This window comes from Homo sapiens, chromosome 6 (assembly GCF_000001405.40).
Source record: "Homo sapiens chromosome 6, GRCh38.p14 Primary Assembly".
Lineage (NCBI taxonomy): Eukaryota > Metazoa > Chordata > Mammalia > Primates > Hominidae > Homo > Homo sapiens.
Window position 1 is genome coordinate 136,778,092 of NC_000006.12, and position 17,189 is coordinate 136,795,280.

The 17,189-nt window shown below is 43.9% G+C and overlaps 1 protein-coding gene and 1 long non-coding RNA gene across 11 annotated transcripts in view, besides 7 other annotated features; one reads left to right on the forward strand and one right to left on the reverse strand.

Moving 5' to 3' along the window:
* The window catches only part of MAP3K5 (mitogen-activated protein kinase kinase kinase 5), a 236,046-nt gene extending 221,046 nt beyond the window's left edge, over positions 1–15,000 (reverse strand). For 7 of the 10 annotated variants that reach the window (XM_017010875.2, XM_047418784.1, NM_001438058.1 and 4 more), the window contains exons 1-2: positions 14,554–15,000; positions 13,619–14,297 (exon numbers count right to left, since the gene is read on the reverse strand). In XM_017010875.2, the coding sequence (XP_016866364.1) occupies positions 13,619–14,297; positions 14,554–14,649 (775 nt within the window). In that variant the 5' untranslated portion in view covers positions 14,650–15,000. Of the gene's footprint in view, positions 1–13,618; positions 14,387–14,553 lie in introns of those variants that run through there. The other 3 variants (NM_001438579.1, XM_017010877.2, NM_005923.4) reach the window with 1 other exon arrangement.
* MAP3K5-AS2 (MAP3K5 antisense RNA 2) lies at positions 5,956–7,963 on the forward strand. The gene is made up of 2 exons (NR_134635.1): positions 5,956–6,183; positions 7,324–7,963. It is a non-coding gene; the product is annotated as an MAP3K5 antisense RNA 2 (long non-coding RNA).
* Positions 7,220–7,514: an enhancer, noted in NCBI's record as "tiled region #14394; K562 Activating DNase unmatched - State 5:Enh". NCBI's record gives its function as "activates a minimal TATA promoter and a strong SV40 promoter by Sharpr-MPRA in K562 cells {active_cell/tissue: K562}" and the evidence as "EXISTENCE:reporter gene assay evidence [ECO:0000049][PMID:27701403]".
* Positions 13,136–13,651: an enhancer, noted in NCBI's record as "H3K4me1 hESC enhancer chr6:137112365-137112880 (GRCh37/hg19 assembly coordinates)". NCBI's record gives its function as "activates a minimal SCP1, AML or CMV promoter by ChIP-STARR-seq in naive H9 embryonic stem cells {active_cell/tissue: H9 hESC(naive)}" and the evidence as "EXISTENCE:reporter gene assay evidence [ECO:0000049][PMID:30033119]".
* Positions 13,757–13,826: an enhancer, noted in NCBI's record as "active region_25122". NCBI's record gives its function as "activates an Ori minimal core promoter by ATAC-STARR-seq in GM12878 lymphoblastoid cells {active_cell/tissue: GM12878}" and the evidence as "EXISTENCE:reporter gene assay evidence [ECO:0000049][PMID:35858748]".
* Positions 13,957–14,596: a silencer, noted in NCBI's record as "silent region_17575". NCBI's record gives its function as "represses an Ori minimal core promoter by ATAC-STARR-seq in GM12878 lymphoblastoid cells {active_cell/tissue: GM12878}" and the evidence as "EXISTENCE:reporter gene assay evidence [ECO:0000049][PMID:35858748]".
* Positions 14,617–14,846: an enhancer, noted in NCBI's record as "active region_25123". NCBI's record gives its function as "activates an Ori minimal core promoter by ATAC-STARR-seq in GM12878 lymphoblastoid cells {active_cell/tissue: GM12878}" and the evidence as "EXISTENCE:reporter gene assay evidence [ECO:0000049][PMID:35858748]".
* Positions 14,957–15,016: an enhancer, noted in NCBI's record as "active region_25124". NCBI's record gives its function as "activates an Ori minimal core promoter by ATAC-STARR-seq in GM12878 lymphoblastoid cells {active_cell/tissue: GM12878}" and the evidence as "EXISTENCE:reporter gene assay evidence [ECO:0000049][PMID:35858748]".
* Positions 15,387–15,466: an enhancer, noted in NCBI's record as "active region_25125". NCBI's record gives its function as "activates an Ori minimal core promoter by ATAC-STARR-seq in GM12878 lymphoblastoid cells {active_cell/tissue: GM12878}" and the evidence as "EXISTENCE:reporter gene assay evidence [ECO:0000049][PMID:35858748]".

The following is a 17,189-nucleotide window of genomic DNA, read 5'->3' on the forward strand; positions in this document are numbered from 1 at the left end:
CTAAGAGTCAGTATAAACAAGTTCTTCTTAATTAAAGAATCATAATACCCCTCTTGGAAGTAAATTTAATAATATTTTACCTGTATTTATAAGAGATCTGAAAGGTTTTTAATACAATCTTGGAATTTATATACGTAATTTTCATTATGATACTGATTTCATTAAAAAAATAAGTGGGGGTCTAATGCATATTATACTATTGTGAAAGATTTTTATTTTTGATGCATTTTCACATCTTTTATAGCAGTAATAAACCCTGTTCTCAAGTGCACAGTTCAATGAAATGATCTACATTATGAAGTCCTTAAAATACTCCCTCAGATTTTTTACTTATTCATTACTTAGTTCACTATATAATCTTGCATGTTGTAGGCTCCCAACAATTATTTATTAAATTGCTGAATTCAAATAATAGACTGTAAAATAATAAAAGGCAGAAATCACACCTTTTTAACCTAATTTTATATAGACCTTAGATATCTTGCAGATTTTAAGTAGCCAAAAAATGTCTGCTGATGTGATGCCTGTAATCATGATAGTAATAGTTATTTCAATCTTTTCAAATAGAAAATGTATTTCTGTGAGACAGGAGAACATAAGTTATAAGTGAATAGATTCCGGAATCTGACAGACTTGGGTTCAGAATTGGATTCTGCCCCTCAGTAGCTATGTGACACTGAGACCACTGTTGGTAACAGTTTCAGGGTCTCAGTTTTTGTTTCCCCAAACAAAAAAACTGATCGACTGATGCTATCTGCCTCATAAAGTTGTTTTAAAGATTAAATAGGCCGGGTGCAGTGGCTCACGCCTGTAATGCCAGTGCCAGCACTTTGGGGGACAGATGCGGGAGGATCACTTGACCTCAGGAGTTTGAGACCAGCCTAGGTAACATGGTGAGACCTTGTCTCTACAAAAAATAAAAATAAGACTTGGCACAGTGGCTCACGCCTGTAATCCCAGCACTTTGAGAGGCCAAGGCGGGCAGATCACTTGAGGCCAGGAGTTCGAGACCAGCCTGGCCAACATGGCAAAACCCTGTCTCTACTAAAAACACAAAAAATTAGCTGGGCATGGTAACCTGGGAGGCAGAGGTTGCAGTGAGCCAAGATCACACCACCATACTCCAGCCTGGGTATAGAGTGAGCCTGTCTCAAAATATATACATAAATAAATAATAAATAAATAAATAAAAACATAAAAAATTAGCCCAGTGTGGTGGCGCATGCTTGTAGTCCCAGCTACGTGGGAGGCTGAGGCAGGAGGATCACTTGAGTCTGGAAGATCAAGACTGCAGTGAGCCATGATCATGCCACTGAACTTTAGCCTGGGCAACAGAGTGACACCCTGTCTCAAAAAAAAAAAAAAAAAAAGATTAAATAAGGTCATACATATAGTGTGATAGAGTGATTAGCACATACACCTAGTACACAGTAATGCATGCTGTTTGTGTATGGCTTGCTTTAATTTATAAGACCAAAGTGTCATATATTCAGCTTGTCAGCTTATGTAATCTTACAGCAGTTTGCTAGCCCTCTAAAATATAAGGACCTTTTTCCTTCATAAAATAGGCTTATTTGGAACAGTCTAAACTACTGAGGGTCCCATAGTAGCAATTATATTCTCCTAGTATAAGAATGAAGTTGGGTTTCCAGACACCACAGGCATACCACTGGCATATTCCTGACTTGGTTATGGCCACATGGCTTATATCTTTTCTCACATCCAAAACCTAGAGGACTGACATCCTGTTGTCAATTTGTACATGTTCCCTGACCTAAAATAACCATGACTAGGAACCCTGGTTAAAGCAAGGTATTCTGGGACCCTCTCAGGGCAAACGGCTTCAGATGGCAGAGTAGCAGAGACAACAGGTCCTTTAAGTCAGGTTGAGTTAAAAGCACTTGGAGAGACAGGCATAGGGCCTGCTGAGAATGACCAACCTTCTGCAGGGAAGAGTTGTCAAAGACTTGGAAAAGGTCAAAAGGTACTGAGTATCCTTTCAGTGGAGGGCTGGGCTTAGTGCAGCACTCCCTCTGGGAATTATCAGATTTTAAAGGGGTGTGTACCTTTGATTGTCCTCCTAGTGATTTGGCTATTTTACAATGCTGTTGGGGTAAATATTACCTTATGCAAAACTGATAGTAATGCAAATATTTTTTGTCCACAGCAATACAAATGAATATGGTTTGGTAGAGATACAATTGATTTCTACCCTTTAGAATAGATGACTCCAACATTTATACTTATAGAATTGCCTTACAAAATATTAACCAACTTTGCATCTATTAGCAAATTCATTTCACCATTCCTGATTTTGTATGTATGTATACCATATTTGCTCTTCGAACTCTCCTTTCAACCAGTTTTAATATCTTTCTGGTTTTTCTCATTATATAATGAATTAATTCAATATTTGGCATATGTTTATATTTGTAGAGAGTTGTTATTTTAGATTGTCGTAAATTATAGTTTAGAACATTGTAATGTGGCGCTTCCTGTGAAGAATGCACTTTCTCAGGAAGGGAAATTGATGAGTTAGAAAGGAGCTTTTAGTTTTGCCCAGAATGATTTATTTTTCTAAAAAAGAAAGAGAAGTAAAACAAGTATGTCAAAATGTTTAACTGCTATTAACTATTACATTTAGGTAGTATGTAGATGCATAAGTGTCTGTTAAACTATTTTATATACTTTCTTTATAACTAAAATGTTTCATAAATTTTTTTAACTTTTTTTCTAAAAAGAATGAGTCTGGTAGAGAGGAATGGGGAATGTAGGTCGTTCCTCCTGACTGCTTCCCTTAGCTTCAGTTTTTCCCATGCAAACAGATACACGTTATACATCTTTATACTCCTGAAGATTTATGCCTTCTTCTGCTTCTTAGTTCTTCGATACATCCTGATTCAGTAAGAGGCATATTATAGGCAATTAATAATAAATGCTTACAAAATTTAATTAGTAGGAATATGCTATCACATTAAGGGAAACTGCATCAGACTCCAGAGCCAGCACATCTCAGGGAAACAAGGAAAGAACTGTCCCCAGGCTGTGCTGTAAACCCAGCTCTCTGGATCATTCTAGAGAAAGGCTAGTTTTGGTCTATCGCAGTCCATCTAACCATCATGCCCAGGAAACAGCCCAAGACTTGCCTGAAGAAAGCCCAACTTACAACTTAAGGCCAAGCAACTGGCAACCACTATTGAGTTGGCTCCCTTGTTGACACTGATCGAAAAAGGTAAGTCAGTTTTCTGATTAAGATGTCACTAAAATCTGCTAGCAAGAGGGAATCAGAAGTTGTGTGACTACTATGACTCTTCCTCATAATAATAACTGCCATCGTGGAACAAAATATTAGAACTGATCCTCTTAAACAGAATATGTAGTTCAAAATGTTTTGAAATGTTTTTCACTGCAGGTGGAACGGTAGTATAGAGAACGAAACATCTGTATTGTTTGGAAGTTGGAAGACCTCCTATTCAACCACTTGATTTAATCTGGCCGCTCTCATAGCCTTTCCAACTATAAGATATAGTTAATTACACTGCCATGCCTACTATTTTATAAGAAATAGGATCATCTCATTGAAGAGTAAGATAATCAAAGGAGGAGGAGTAGCACTGAACAACTGATTCATTGATACTATCATTCTGACCCAACTGCATAAAATCACCCCAACCTCAGAGTGATCAAATTATAAATTGGGAAATATCTAGCTACAGGCCAAAGCGGTGGCCCCTGGACAGCAGAAATAGCACTTCTGTCCTGGTTGCCCCAGCTTTAAGCTGACATTTGTCACAATGACCATATTACAAAACTTGAGCGTGACATTAAGAGGTATTTGACATGGCCGGGCATGTTGGCTCATGCCAGTAATCCTAGCATTTTGGGAGGCAGGGGCAGGTGAATTGCTTGAGCCCAGCAGTTCAAGACCAGCCTGGGCAACAAGGCAAAACCCTGTCTCTACTGGAAAAAAAAAAAAAAAAAGGGTATTTGACATGTAATAGCTTTGGATGACTTTTTAAAAATAATAAATAGGAGTAATTAGGCCAGGCACAGTGGCTCATGCCTGTAATTCCAACACTTTGGGAGGCTAAGGTGGGAAATTCCTTTGAATCCAGGAGTTAGAGACTGCAGTGAGCTATGATTGAGACACTGCATTCCAGCCTGGGAGAGAGAGTGACACCCCATCTCAAAATAAAAAAAAAAAAAAAAGACAAGAAAAAACAAAAGAAATAGAAGTAATCAACATTTTTAAAGGAGAGAGAATTCTCTGGCTTAGGCAAAGACTTGGTTTTATATGGCTTGGGGTCAATGGACAGGTAAGATGATGCTGATTGATACTGACTATGGCAGCTCTCCTCCATGTTTCTGTTTCTTAAGAGTTCACGGGTGTAGAAGAGGCTACAAGTATTGGAAAGTACTGGTATAACTGGTCTCAACCATTTTTGGAGATTGCCAGTACAAAGGAATATAACTTACTTCCTGTATGAATCATATACCAAAGGCAATTGCTTTCCTCATTGTTGATGAACTACTGTAACAGAAAAGGTCTGCTTATAGTGGAATGTTTTCTGTTACCCTGTGCAACTTCTGTGGCATTTAAGTTATACAGATCTGCTCTACTATGATTTTATTAAATAGGAAATGCCCTTAATATTTAAAATTCTCTCTCCTGTCTCCCCTAAGAAAATTATCACAATGTAGTTTCAGTTATTTCTGTTTTCCTTTGGAAAACCAAAAACACTACAAAATAAAATTCATATGAAATGTAAGTTATCAATTATTTACATTTTTTGAACACTTAGACAAGATTTTGAAAATCAGCTTTGTCTCATATCCTTCCTGCTTTTCCACTAACCTGGCACATATTTCGATTAGTGTCTCTAGTCAATACCTTTAGCCAAAGAGAAAAACTAATACATTAAAACAACTAGGCTAGGCGCAGTGGCCCACGCCTGTAATCCCAGCACTTTGGGAGACTGAGGCAGGAGGATCGCTTGAGTCCAGGAGTTTGAGACCAGCCTGGGCAACATGGTAAAACCCCATCTCTACATAAAAATACAAAAATTGGCCAGGCTTGGCTGTGCTCAAAGCAGGAGGATCACTTGAGCCCAGAAGGCGGAGGTTGCAGTTGGAGCCGAAATCATGCCAACGCACTCCAGCCTGGGTGACAGAGCAAGATCTTCTTAAAAAAAAAAAAAACCCACAACTACACAAACCAATATATCAGAGTCACCAATGGATTTTTAATTTATCATTTTGCCTTGATTTCCTTTATTTCCCTTTTATGCCACTAATAAAATTTTCAAGTTTAATTTTACTCCCTGAAAATGAGGGTATCTTTCTCATATCTAGCCAGTTTCCCCACCTACCTATATCCAAATTACAGGAAGATGAGGCTGTCTTCAAGATATATTTTTCCCAAAGCTGTGGGTTCCCAGTTTCTTCTGATAACCACATAGCTGTGGGTTCCTGCAACACTGCCCACCTCCACCACATTTCCCACTCTCATCTTGCCCCAGGTGGAGCGGGGCAAATGCTGGCATGTTCTACAGCCACAGTGAGGCTTCCATGGGTGACAGAAAGGGGAGCGTGTGATAAAAGGCCCTCGAATGGCCTCCTGGGAGGGGCCATCATTGCACAGCACACTGTCAGCCCTGGAGTCAGTAGCCAATAATGCATTTTCCTATGGTTCTCTACTTTCCTGGCTTGGAGTGGTGTTTGAAGGGACCACTTGGAGGAAGTACTTGGAAAGCAGGCACGGTTGGTACCTCATGCTGGAGAGACTTGCACATTTCCCGGACTTTGTGCTTGTCCATCTCCCACTGCTCCACAAAGAAAGTGTGAACCAATTTTATCCTGCAAACCAGAAACAGGAACTGAATGGGCCTCTAACCAGACCTCTGAAACAGGAAGTAGGGCACAGTTCTTATAGCCACCAGAGGGGAACTGCCCTATAAACAGAGAACTCCCAAAAGGCTGGCTCCAGCCAAGGCCACGGGTGAGACAAGCCTGTGTTATGCGCTTATATAATGCACAGGCTTCACCCAGAGATGGAACCAGCTCGAACTACCAACTGATAATGTCTCAAGCAGACAACAGGTGACCAAATTAAGGAAAGAAACCAGGATCCTGGCAGCCCAGGAAGCAGAGCCGGTCATGACAACATGCAGCTGATGATGTGGGGTAAGAAATTGGTACTCTAAAAACTAATTTTGTGCTCTGGAGTTTTCTTTTTGATTTTGCTTTTTTCCGTCCGATTTTCTAGTTAAGCTCTTTTAAAAAAATTATAGTTTTGCCTTAATTGACCCATTATCCAAGAAAGCAAGAAGCAGCAGTGCTGTCAGTTTGTGTGCGGTGGGTGGCAGCTGCTACAATGGTGTGCCAGGGAACGTGAACAGCTCAGAGAAAAACCATGTGTTGGACACCACTGGGATTTTTTTAAAAAATCCTTCCCTAACTAGAGTTTTCCCTTATGAGTTTATCTACGTTTGCTCTTTTGATAATTTTACTAAGGTTCGTTTCTCACGTGAAGCAGTGGCTGAAAGGTGGGAAGGGGCTGCAGGGCGGTTCCAATCAGAGGCTCTCAAACACAACTCTGTTGACTGGTGTGATAAAGTTTTCACTCATCCTTGGAGAAATGGGAAAAATAAATAACAAGTCATGAGTTTTTGCACACATTTTCTGTATGTGAAGATCTGCCCTTCATTCTAAGGTTATGTCCCCCACTAATTTTTTTTTAACATAAAACTTTCCTTTTTAAGAAATCATGGCAATAGGTGGCTGGTTGTTGATTTTCTTGTCTCTCTGTCTCTCTTTCTCTCTCTCGATTTTCCTCACTTTCTCTACTTATAATACTCTTACTTGGAAAAATTTAAATGTTGGCAAACACATGTCAGTCCTCCAAATTTTTTTAACTGGTTCGTGGGAACCACTATTTAGGACATACAGACTTTACTCTCTCCTTCAAAATATATGAGACAATATACTCGGAAAGTATATTGAAAGTAGAAATGCAGAAGTGGGCTGGACAATTTTCAAGAACTTCTCCATCTGGGATAGATGGGATACAAGGTTATGTTCTGTTTTGTTTTATTGTTTTACCAAATAAGATTAGAAGTCCTAAGGAGCTTTGCTGGAAGCAAGTTGGAGCCAAAGCCTGGCAAGGTCAGATGCCTCTCCAGCAAGATGGCATATTAACACATGGGCGACTTTTGTCACAAGCTCAAGTAAAGTGGGAACATACCATGGATGAGAATAGAAAAGCTAAGTTCTTACAATTTTAACTAGCATGTGCTTCCTTCCTGTTACCTATGATTGCTACAGGGTGAAAGGCTGAGTAAGCGGTTGCAATCTGCAGTGAGCCAAGCTGAAAGGCCCGGGCGGATGTGAAGGCTGGTGGTAAGGAAATGGGAAGCAGGCAGCCAAGCTAACCCTGTGTCCACTGAAGGAGTGAGGTGGCCTTGAGCACAGCAGCATCCCTGGGTCTTACGTCGGCCAGAAGTAGAAAGGGAAGAAGCCTAAAGGAAGTGAAAGTGTTGCTGGATCTCCTGCTGGCATTGCCTCCTCCTTCACACAGCATCCCGGTTCTCCCTGCAGCCACCTGATCTTCCCTTTGTCCCCTTCCTCACCACAGCCCCACCACCTTCACCACTCCAAGTTGATGCTTCTCCTACATCTGGCCAAGATGCTACTCAGAGGTGGATGAAAGCAAAAGTCACTGCTCTAATACAAGAAAAGTCCCGGTTTTAGGTTTCAGAAACAGAATTTTCCCGAATGTTTAAAATGGTGAATGGTTCCATAAACTGTGTTAACCAGGCTTCTTACAGGCTAGTCCCAGAATCTGACCACCATGTGCAATACTGTTTCTAAGAAAAGTGTGCTCCAAGCAAGAACCTTCAAACATTTAACCTGAATGAATGAATATAACCTCTTCACGGTTCAGTGTTTTCATAAGCAAAACAAGAGAATAGCAGCATTGATGTCTTTTAAAAAAAATTTAGGGCTGGGCGCGGTGGCTCACGCCTGTAATCCCAGCACTTTGGGAGGCCAAGGCAGGCAGATCACTCCTGAGGTCAGGAGTTTGAGACCAGTCTGGCCAACAAGATGAAACCCTGTCTCTACTAATAATACAAAAAAATTAGCTGGAATGTGGTGGCACATGACTGTAATCCCAGCTACTCAGGAGGCTGAGGCAGGAGAATCACTTGAACCCAGGAAGCAGAGGTTGCAGTGAGCCGAGATCGAGCCACTGCACTCCAGCCTGCGTGACAAGAGCAAAACTCCATCTCAAAAAAAAAAAAAAAAAAAAAAATTTGGAAAGCTTCCCATTTGGGATCTGTCCACCTACACAGGGCAACACGATAGTATTGACATCTCTTAGCTTTTACGGAATTTTCTGCCTACAATGCAGAGGGCAAAGAAGGGGTATTGTCAGCTTGGCTTTGCTGTCTCTGAGTGACAGTCTCTTGTATACGTAAATAAGATGAATTTTCATAAAAGCATTGACAGAGCATTAGCTTCACCTCAGAAAGAAAATGAAAAAGCAAATGACAACTGTAGTCAAAGAAGAAATTAAAATATAGTTAAATAGTAAACAGATCAAGAAAAAATCAGTGAAAACCTTTAACTTGCAACCTATTCTTTTTAAAGACATCAGTACACAAAGATTGGGAAAGTTTATTAAAAATGTTACCAAACTTTAAGTTCTTCTTTTTTTTTTTTTTTTTTTTTTGAAACAGGGTCTCATTCTGTCACCCAGGCTGGACTGCAGTAGCACGATTTCAGCTCACCGCAGCCTCAGCCTCCCAGGCTCAAGGGATCCTCCCACCTCAACCTCCCGAGTAGCTGGGAATAAGTTCTTACTCACTCCGTTAGGTTGAGCTATTCGAACATCACTGTTTCCCATGTAAACGTTGAGACCTTCATTAGGCTCTCCTTGCTTACCCTGCCATTTCACTTCAGGTGTCACCACCTTTAAGAAGCTACCCCTTGCCAGGTGTGGTGGCTCACACCTGTAATCCCAGCTCTTAGGGAGGCAGAGGCAGGAGGATAGCTTGAGCCCAGGAAATTGAGACCTGCCTAGGCAATATAGCGAGACCCCATTCTCCACAAAAAGGAAAAAAGCAAACAAAAAACAAGCATAAGAAGCTACCCTTGAACCCACTGTATCCTCAATCTGATTTTTGAAGCTGATTCCTGGGAGCCCAGCATCCTGGCACAGAGGCACTGCTAAGGCAAAGGCATTGGTCTGCCCTCCCCACCAACTCTGAGCTCTTCAGGGGCAGGAATATGATATATACAAGCAGTTCATTTAATCTCTACGAGCTGAAATGATTCATTTGTCTTAATAATGCTGTCATTTTAAAGTACAGAATTTGAGAGCTGGAGGGAATCTCAGATACCAATTATTCCAACACTCCACTCTTTTCTGAGGCTTTAAATGACTTGCTCCAAGTTAGAAAAGAATCAGGACCCAAAGCCAAACCTTGAAAATGCTGTTCTAATGCTTTGTGCCTGCATCCCATGCCACCTTGCCTTTGTAAATTCACAGGATTAAATAAGGGAATCCTAAAAAAATGTGTTCAATTCCCCCTTCACTTCTAACCCTGGTCAATTTTACAGGCAAAGAAACACCACTGGAGGCAATGAAGGGCCGTTCTCACAATTACATGGTTCACAGCAGAGCTGGGATGAAAACTCGGATCTAATATGAGGGACCATGTTCTTCCCACTATCTCATAAAAATTCAACTTTCAAGTACAGGTCATGGGTGTAGAGCAAAGGTCAGCATGGCACAGGGGCCAAATCCTGTGGGCCACCTGTTTTTGAGTATGGCTTGCAAGCTAAGAATGGTTTTTACATTTTAAAATGGTTATAAAACAAGAAATCATACTTTGTGAGGTATATGAAGTTCAAATTTCAGTGTCCACGAATAACGTTTGGTTGGAACATAGTCATGATCATTTGTTTAGGTCCTGTTTATGGCTGCTCTTGAGTAATAGGGCAGAGTTGAGAAGTTGTGAAAGAGACCTCAAGAAATGAAACCACACACCTAACACCATCTGATCTTCAACAAAGTCAACAAAGTAAGTAATGGAGAAAGGACTCCCTATTCAATAAATGGTGCTGGCTAGCCATATGCAGAATAAAATTGGACCCCTATCTATCACCATATACAAAAATTCATTCAAGATGGATTAAGGTTTAAATGTAAGACCTCAAACCATAAGAGTCCTAGAAGAAAGCCCAGGAAATACCATTCTGCATCAGCCTTGGGAAAGAATTTATGACTAAGTCCTCAAAAGCAATTGCAACAAAAACAAAAATGACAAATGGGACCTAATTAAACTAAAGAGCTTCTACACAACAAGAGACACTATTAAGAGAGTACAAAGACAACCCTCAGAATGGGAGAAAATATTCACAAACTACGCATTTAAGAAAGGTCTACAAATCAACAAGCAAAACAACAAATAACCCCGTTAAAAAGTAGGCGAAAGATATGAACAGACACTTCTCAGAAGAAGGCATACAAGCAGCCAACAAACTTATGAAAAAATGTTCATCATCACTAATCATCAGAGAAATGCAAATCAAAACCACAATGAGATAACATCTCACACCAGTCAGAATGGCTTTTGTTAAAAAGTCAAAAAATAACAGATGTTGGCGAGGCTGCAGAGAAAAGGGAACACTTACACACTGTTGGTGAGAATGTAAATTTGTCCTGCCACCGTGGAAAGTAATTTGGAGAGTTCTCAAAGAACTAAGAGCTGAACTACCGTTCGACCCAGCAATCCCATTACTAGGTATATACCCAAAGGAAAATAAATTGTTCTACCAAAAAGACACCAAACCAGATATTGAATGTTCTCACTCATAAGTGGGAGCTAAACATTGGGTACAAGTAAACTTAAAGATGGGAGGCTGGGTGCGGTGGCTCACGCCTGTAATCCCAATACTTTGGGAGGCCAAGGCAGGAGGACTGCTTGAGGCCAGGTTTGAGACCTGTCTGGGCAACATAGCAAGACCCCGTCTCTACAAAAAAAACATAGTAAAATAAAATAAAATTAGCCCAGCGTGGTGGCTCATGCCTGTAGTCCCAGCTACTCGGGAGGCTGAGGCAGGAGGATCACTAGAGCCCAGGAGTTCGAGCTAGCAGCGAACCATGATCATGCCACTGCACTCCAGGCTGGGCAACAGAGTGAGACCTTGTCTCTAAAACAAATAAAATAAAATAGAAACAAAGGGTTTGGATAAAACTGATGCACTACCTTCATTCTGTCACATTTTCATGCTTTCATGCTGACTGAGAGGGCACTCATCCTGGGAGTTCATGCCATCCAGATGGGCAGGGGTTAAACTGAGACCTGTCTAGGTTGAAAGAAGCAGTACGAAGGGACAGAGTGGGCGCAGGAAAAAGAGGCTTCCGAGAGCATGCCCTCCCCACTATTCCATACACACCTAAATGCCTGGTAAGATCTTTGCCAGCTCACTCACATGATTCCAAGATAGGGAGCTTCCCTTGATTCTGAGAGTAACTCAGCCCACCTAAATGGAGGAAGCAAGGGCCAAGCACAACCTCTTTTTTTTTTTTTTTTTTTTTTTTTTTTTAAGACAGAGTCTCATTCTGTCACCCAGTCTGGAGTGTGCAGTGGTACAATCTCAGCTCACTGCAACCTCTGCCTCCCAGGTTCAAGTGATTATCCTGCCTCAGCCTCCTGAGTAGCTAGGACTACAGGTGTGCACCACCATGCCTGGCTAATTTTTGTCATTTTAGTAGAGACAGGGTTTCACCATGTTGGCCAGGAGGCTGGCCTGGAACTCCTGACCTCAGGTGATCCACCCGCCTTGGCCTCCGAAAGTGCTGGGATTACAGGCGTGAGCCACCACGCCTGGCCCAAGCACAACCTTTTAGGGTCAGCCACCTGAAGTGGAATCCTGCATTGGCCACTTACTCCCTATGAATCCTAGGGCCAGTTAGGGATCCCTGGGTTTTCTCACCTAAGAAGGTAAGTACTTCCTTCACAGGCTTGTTTGGAGGATTCAATGAAATACACTCAAACTTCAGCTCCCTTCTAATCATTCTCTCTCCCTTTCCCAGAGACAGTATTTGGAGAATAACAGAAACCAAGCCTTGTTAGGAAAGTTTCTTTCAAATTAGCTTAGAGTTTAACATTTTTTTTCTAGAGCCCTAGGAAAAAAACGCCCAATCAGTGCAATAAAAATAGGCTCAAGTGTTCAGTTGGGTATTTTCCTCTCATATCTTTTAGTTCTTTGAAGTTTCTTCCAAATTATAATCCAAAAATAAGAGTGCTACAATTTTTAGAAAAGTTATGTTGATGTAACTTTTATAGCAAGCTACCCAAAGAATCAAGCTATATTATAGCCATGCTCAGTTATGAAGACCAAAACTATTTTAAAAATACCAGAACGAGAAAGTCCTAGTTTATTTAGTCTGGCTTCCTTAACATGAAGGTCTTGTTGTTCTCAAAATATTCAGCTTTGGCTGAATTCCAAAACTGACATAAGCCCACTTCAGGTGTTTGGAAGACACTAAAGAGAATCAGAATTGAAAACAAGATTGGAAAATAAAGCCTTTTATGTGATCACAAATGCAAGAAGTGTATTGTTTTGAAACTACTAAACCAAGTTTTTACCCACAAATGTAAACATAAATATGTATATATTCTCAACACTGGACGTACAGGGGACTAAAGGTTAATTTCCATAATATGGTATTATTCCTAACATTTGCTAACAGCTAAGTGCTTCAGTTACTAGAACTGCCTTAACATTTTCTGAAATTTGAGATAGGTTGAAAGATACATTTCTTTCATGGATTATGCTAGCAATCACTTTAATGGCGAAACTAATCTTATTATTAGGATAGCATACAGGTGTTTTAGACAATGTTAAATTACAAACTTTCTAGCCCACCATGGTTTATGGGGTAATAAAAAACAGGCCCTGGTTCTTTCACCAAAATCCTTACAAAGATAACACACAAGTTCAGTGTAAGTTGTAATGTTATTGCCTTTGGAAGCACTGTAATTACTTCAAAGTCTGGGTTGGTGAGAGGAAATTCAAGCTACTAAAACTTATCGAAGGTAAGGTGAGTTGGGAAGATCATCACATGGCATGCAAATTAATATAGTTACACTCTGCGTGCATGGTATGTCATCGTTCCCGTACTCTCAAAACTACACAGAGAAAAGGAGAACCTCATCTAAAACGGTCACAGGTATATGCAGAAAGAAAACAGGGACCAAACCTCACAGAAGCGAAACCGAGACACTGAAAGGAGAAAGACTGACTGGGGCAAATATCTCACACTGCTGGAGAACAGTTCAAGTCGATCGCATGGACCCAGGGCTCCAGCGCTGGGCGGTGGGTGGATCCATAGGTCTATCGCACAAGTACACACAGACTCTTGCACAAGCACACACGCTCTCTCCGGAGCGGCGAGCGACAGGAGCAGTCACGCAGCGGCGCTCGCTGCCCCCAAAGTGGGGCAAGAAGTAAATGCTTCCCGCCCAGAAAAATGAAATGCCCCGAAGACCGCCAGATTAAACGCGGGTCCCGACCGCGCGGGATGGGAAAGGGGTCACACACGCACCTGCATTGTAAAAGCGGTCCAGCACGGTGGTTTCTCCAAAGTCGAGTTTCCCAAAATGCAGGGTTTCCAGGGTGGCGCCCACTGTCTCGCACGCCTCCCGCAAGCTCTGCAGGGCCTCGCTCTCGGCCACCACCAGTTGCCCTTGGCTCGCTTCGTTGATCACATATGCCACCGTGGTCCGTCGGCTGCCCCCGCCAACAGAGCTGCCCCGGCCTCGGGTGGCACTGCTCGAGGAGGTGGCCGCCGGACAACCGATGCCAGGGGCAGCGGCGCTCTCCACGTTCCAGAAGCTGCCCGGCGGCGGCGGTGGCAGCTGGTGCTCCTCGCCCTCGCCCACCGCCGCCGCTCCTCCCCTCCTGCAGATGCCGCCCTCGGGGATGGTGCAGAAGCCCGAGGGGGCGAAGGGTGGCACAGAGAAAGTGATGCCCTCGTCCGCCTCCGTGCTCATCTCTCCGGGCCGGGCAGCAACGGCGGCGGCGTCCCCCGCCCAGCCGCACCGCCTGGCCAGCCACAGCTCGGGGCTGCTCCGCGCCCGCCGGGCTAAGCAGCTGCCATCGCGCGCCGCGCCCTCGCCGCCGCGCCGCCGCCTCCTCTCCGGCGCCCTCTCCCCCGAGGGCACGCCGCTGCCCGGCGGCGGCTCGCTCCTCCTCGGCGCCTCCGTGGCCGCGCCGCTCGCCCTCTGCAGAGTTTAGAGTACAAGGGGTGGGGAAGCCGGGTGAGCGGGAAGGGACGGAGCTTCCTTTTCTTGGCCGGCTGACAAGTCGGCTCGCAAACCTGCGCCGCGGTGCAGCTCAAGGGCGCCGCGCTCGGGGTGCAGCCCGCCCTCGCCACCCGCCGCGCCGCGCCGCGCCGCGCCGCGCAGCTCCTTCCGTCCCGGCCGCTCTGGGAGGGGCCAGGAAGGGCGCCCCCTGGGTGCGGAGCTACCTGGCGCGCACCTTACGAGCGGGCTGGCTCCCCAGGCGGCGTCCCGGAACAGCAGCAGCGGCAGCCGAAAGGACCCTCCTCCCTCTTAGGCGGCAGCTCGCCTTCATCGGGTGGATTTCCTCCTCCTTGCCTGGCCTCGTTTCTCTTTCGATCGCCTCCGCCGCGTGGTCCCGGCGCCAGCCTCGTCGTTCCTTGCAGACGCTCTCCCTCTCCACCACCAGCTTCTGGCCACCCACTCGTAGCGGCACCGAGGGTCAGGGCCAGCCCCCAAGGAGGGCGCTGCTAGGAAGCTCGAGCCCGGACTGAACTGACCGCGCTGCGGCCCTGGGACCCCAGCCCTCCTCTGAGTGCTGCGCGTGGCATAGGGTCCCAGTCTTCACCCACCCGGCCCCCACCTACGAAGACCTGGAGCGCAAGCGATTACGGGGTGGCGCAGAAAGTCCCTCGAGGCAATACTCGGTCTTCGGAGTCCGCCCCTGAAGCATTTCCAGTGTTCCCCGCGACTAGGGCGCCCCCCTCCGGGCCTTGGCGGCCTGGTGGACTGGGACCGTGCGCGGCGCTGGCAGGATAGGCTCCGGGAGACCCACGTTGCGCGAGGCAGGAGGTTGTACATAGCGCCCTGGAGCCAGGGCCTGCACTGGAGGTTGCTTCATTAGTGACTGTGGCACTCCAGAAGTGGCTGGCTAAATTGATCAGGTTCTCCCATGTACTTTTCCTTTTAAAATTTCCAGTGGCTCATTCCGTTATCAGTAATGAGTAATTGATTAGTGCCAACTGCCGAAGGACTTAGTATTCTCATTTAGGATCTTAATTCCCCCACAAGCGCCAGATACTTAAGATAGAAGATGGAGTCTCTACCCGACTCCACAAATTATCAACAAGATGAAACAGGGGAATAACGTGACCTATTCTATTTTTTAAACTGCATCACGCGAGGCCGGGAGGGAAATACCCAGATTGTTTAAGAGCAATCAAAAAAAGTACCTGCTTATTTGGGGAGCAAAGAACAGATGTGTAAGTTCCCAGAGAACCCCAGAATGCTGTAATTGTTAGGAAAGCCAGTGCAAGTTACAACTGAGTAAAGAAACAGGTTTTGTACTTCCCATCTCCAGGAACTGAGACTAGTGAGTCCTGTGAAAAAGGCAGAAGAAAATGTAAATTACTTTTTTTTTTTTTTGAGACGGAGTTTCGCTCTTCTTGCCCGGGCTGGAGTGCAATGGCGCGATTTCGACTCCCTGCGACCTCTGCCTCCCGGGTTCAAGCGATTCCCCTGCCTCAGCCTTTCGAATAGCTGGGATTACAGGCATGCGCCACCACACCAGGCTAATTTTGTATTTTTAGTAGAGACGGGAGGGGGAGGGGTGTGGGGTTCACCATGTTGGCCAGGCTGGTCTCTAACTCCTGACCTCAGGTGATATGCCCGCGTCGGCCTCCCAAAGTGCTGGGATTACAGGCGTGAACCACCCAGCCCAGCCATGAATTACATTTCAAACTGGGTAAGAAGGAAGGATAAAATAGCTGAATAGTAAAGAATTAAAGGAAAGTCTGGGCGCAGTGGCTCACGCCTGTAATCCCAACACTTTGGGAGGCCGAGGCGGGCAGATCACTTGAGGTCAGGAGTTCAAGACCAGCCTGGCCAACATGGTGAAACCCCCGTCTCTACTAAAAATACAAAAATTAGCTGGACGTGGTGGCAGCCGCCTGTAATCCCAGCTACTCGAGAGGCTGAGACAGGAGAATCGTTTGAACCCGGGAGGTGGAGGTTGCAGTGAGCCGAGATGGCGACACTGCACTCTAGACTGGGCGACAGAGCGAGACTCCATCTAAAAAAAGAAAAAGAAAAAGAATTAAAGGAAAGAGTTCTTTAATTTTCTCCAAGGTGGGAGGATTGCTTGAGCCCAAGAGTTCAAGATCAGCCTGGACAACATAGTGAGACCCCCATCTTAAAAAAAAATAATAATTAAAGGAAGGAAGGAAATAGTCATGAGGAAAAACACCTAGCCGCTACACAACTGTATCAATGAATCAATGTGACATTAGATTTTTCTAAAGGTGTATAAAATAATAGAAGTAAATTTCTAGTAAGGAAACTTTATATTCTTCATGTAAAATGGAATCTATGTGACCCACACTAGCTTTTGGAATTAATATCAATAGTAAAATAGGTAGTGAATCAGTGATTATACTGAAACAAAATGTTGCTGAGCTAGTAATAGTTATGTGCCTTTTAATATTTTCAACAACTTGTCAAACCTCCAAAACCTTGTAGGAGTAAGATAATCCTCCCCGCTATCCTCACCAAGAACCACAAACTCTGGAAATCGATGAGGTTCATGTGTGGAAAACTAAAACGCCTAAATGCTCAAGTAGCATTTTACTGTAGAAATACAAAATCTGAAATTATATATCAAGCTATTTTCCAAAGCTGTAACTTTTTATACCCTCTCACTTTGTGCTTTCCTTCCAGATCCTTTCAGAGCCATTTTCATACACAATTTTTATTTTTTGTTTTACTTTGCTGGCTTTTTTGATTTATTAACTTTAAATATGTTTTTTATGTTAGGCACCCAAACCCCAATACAATGTTGAAATTCTGCTTCTAGCTGGTCCAGAGATTCTCCCTCTACCTAAAAGGCACGGTTTAGGT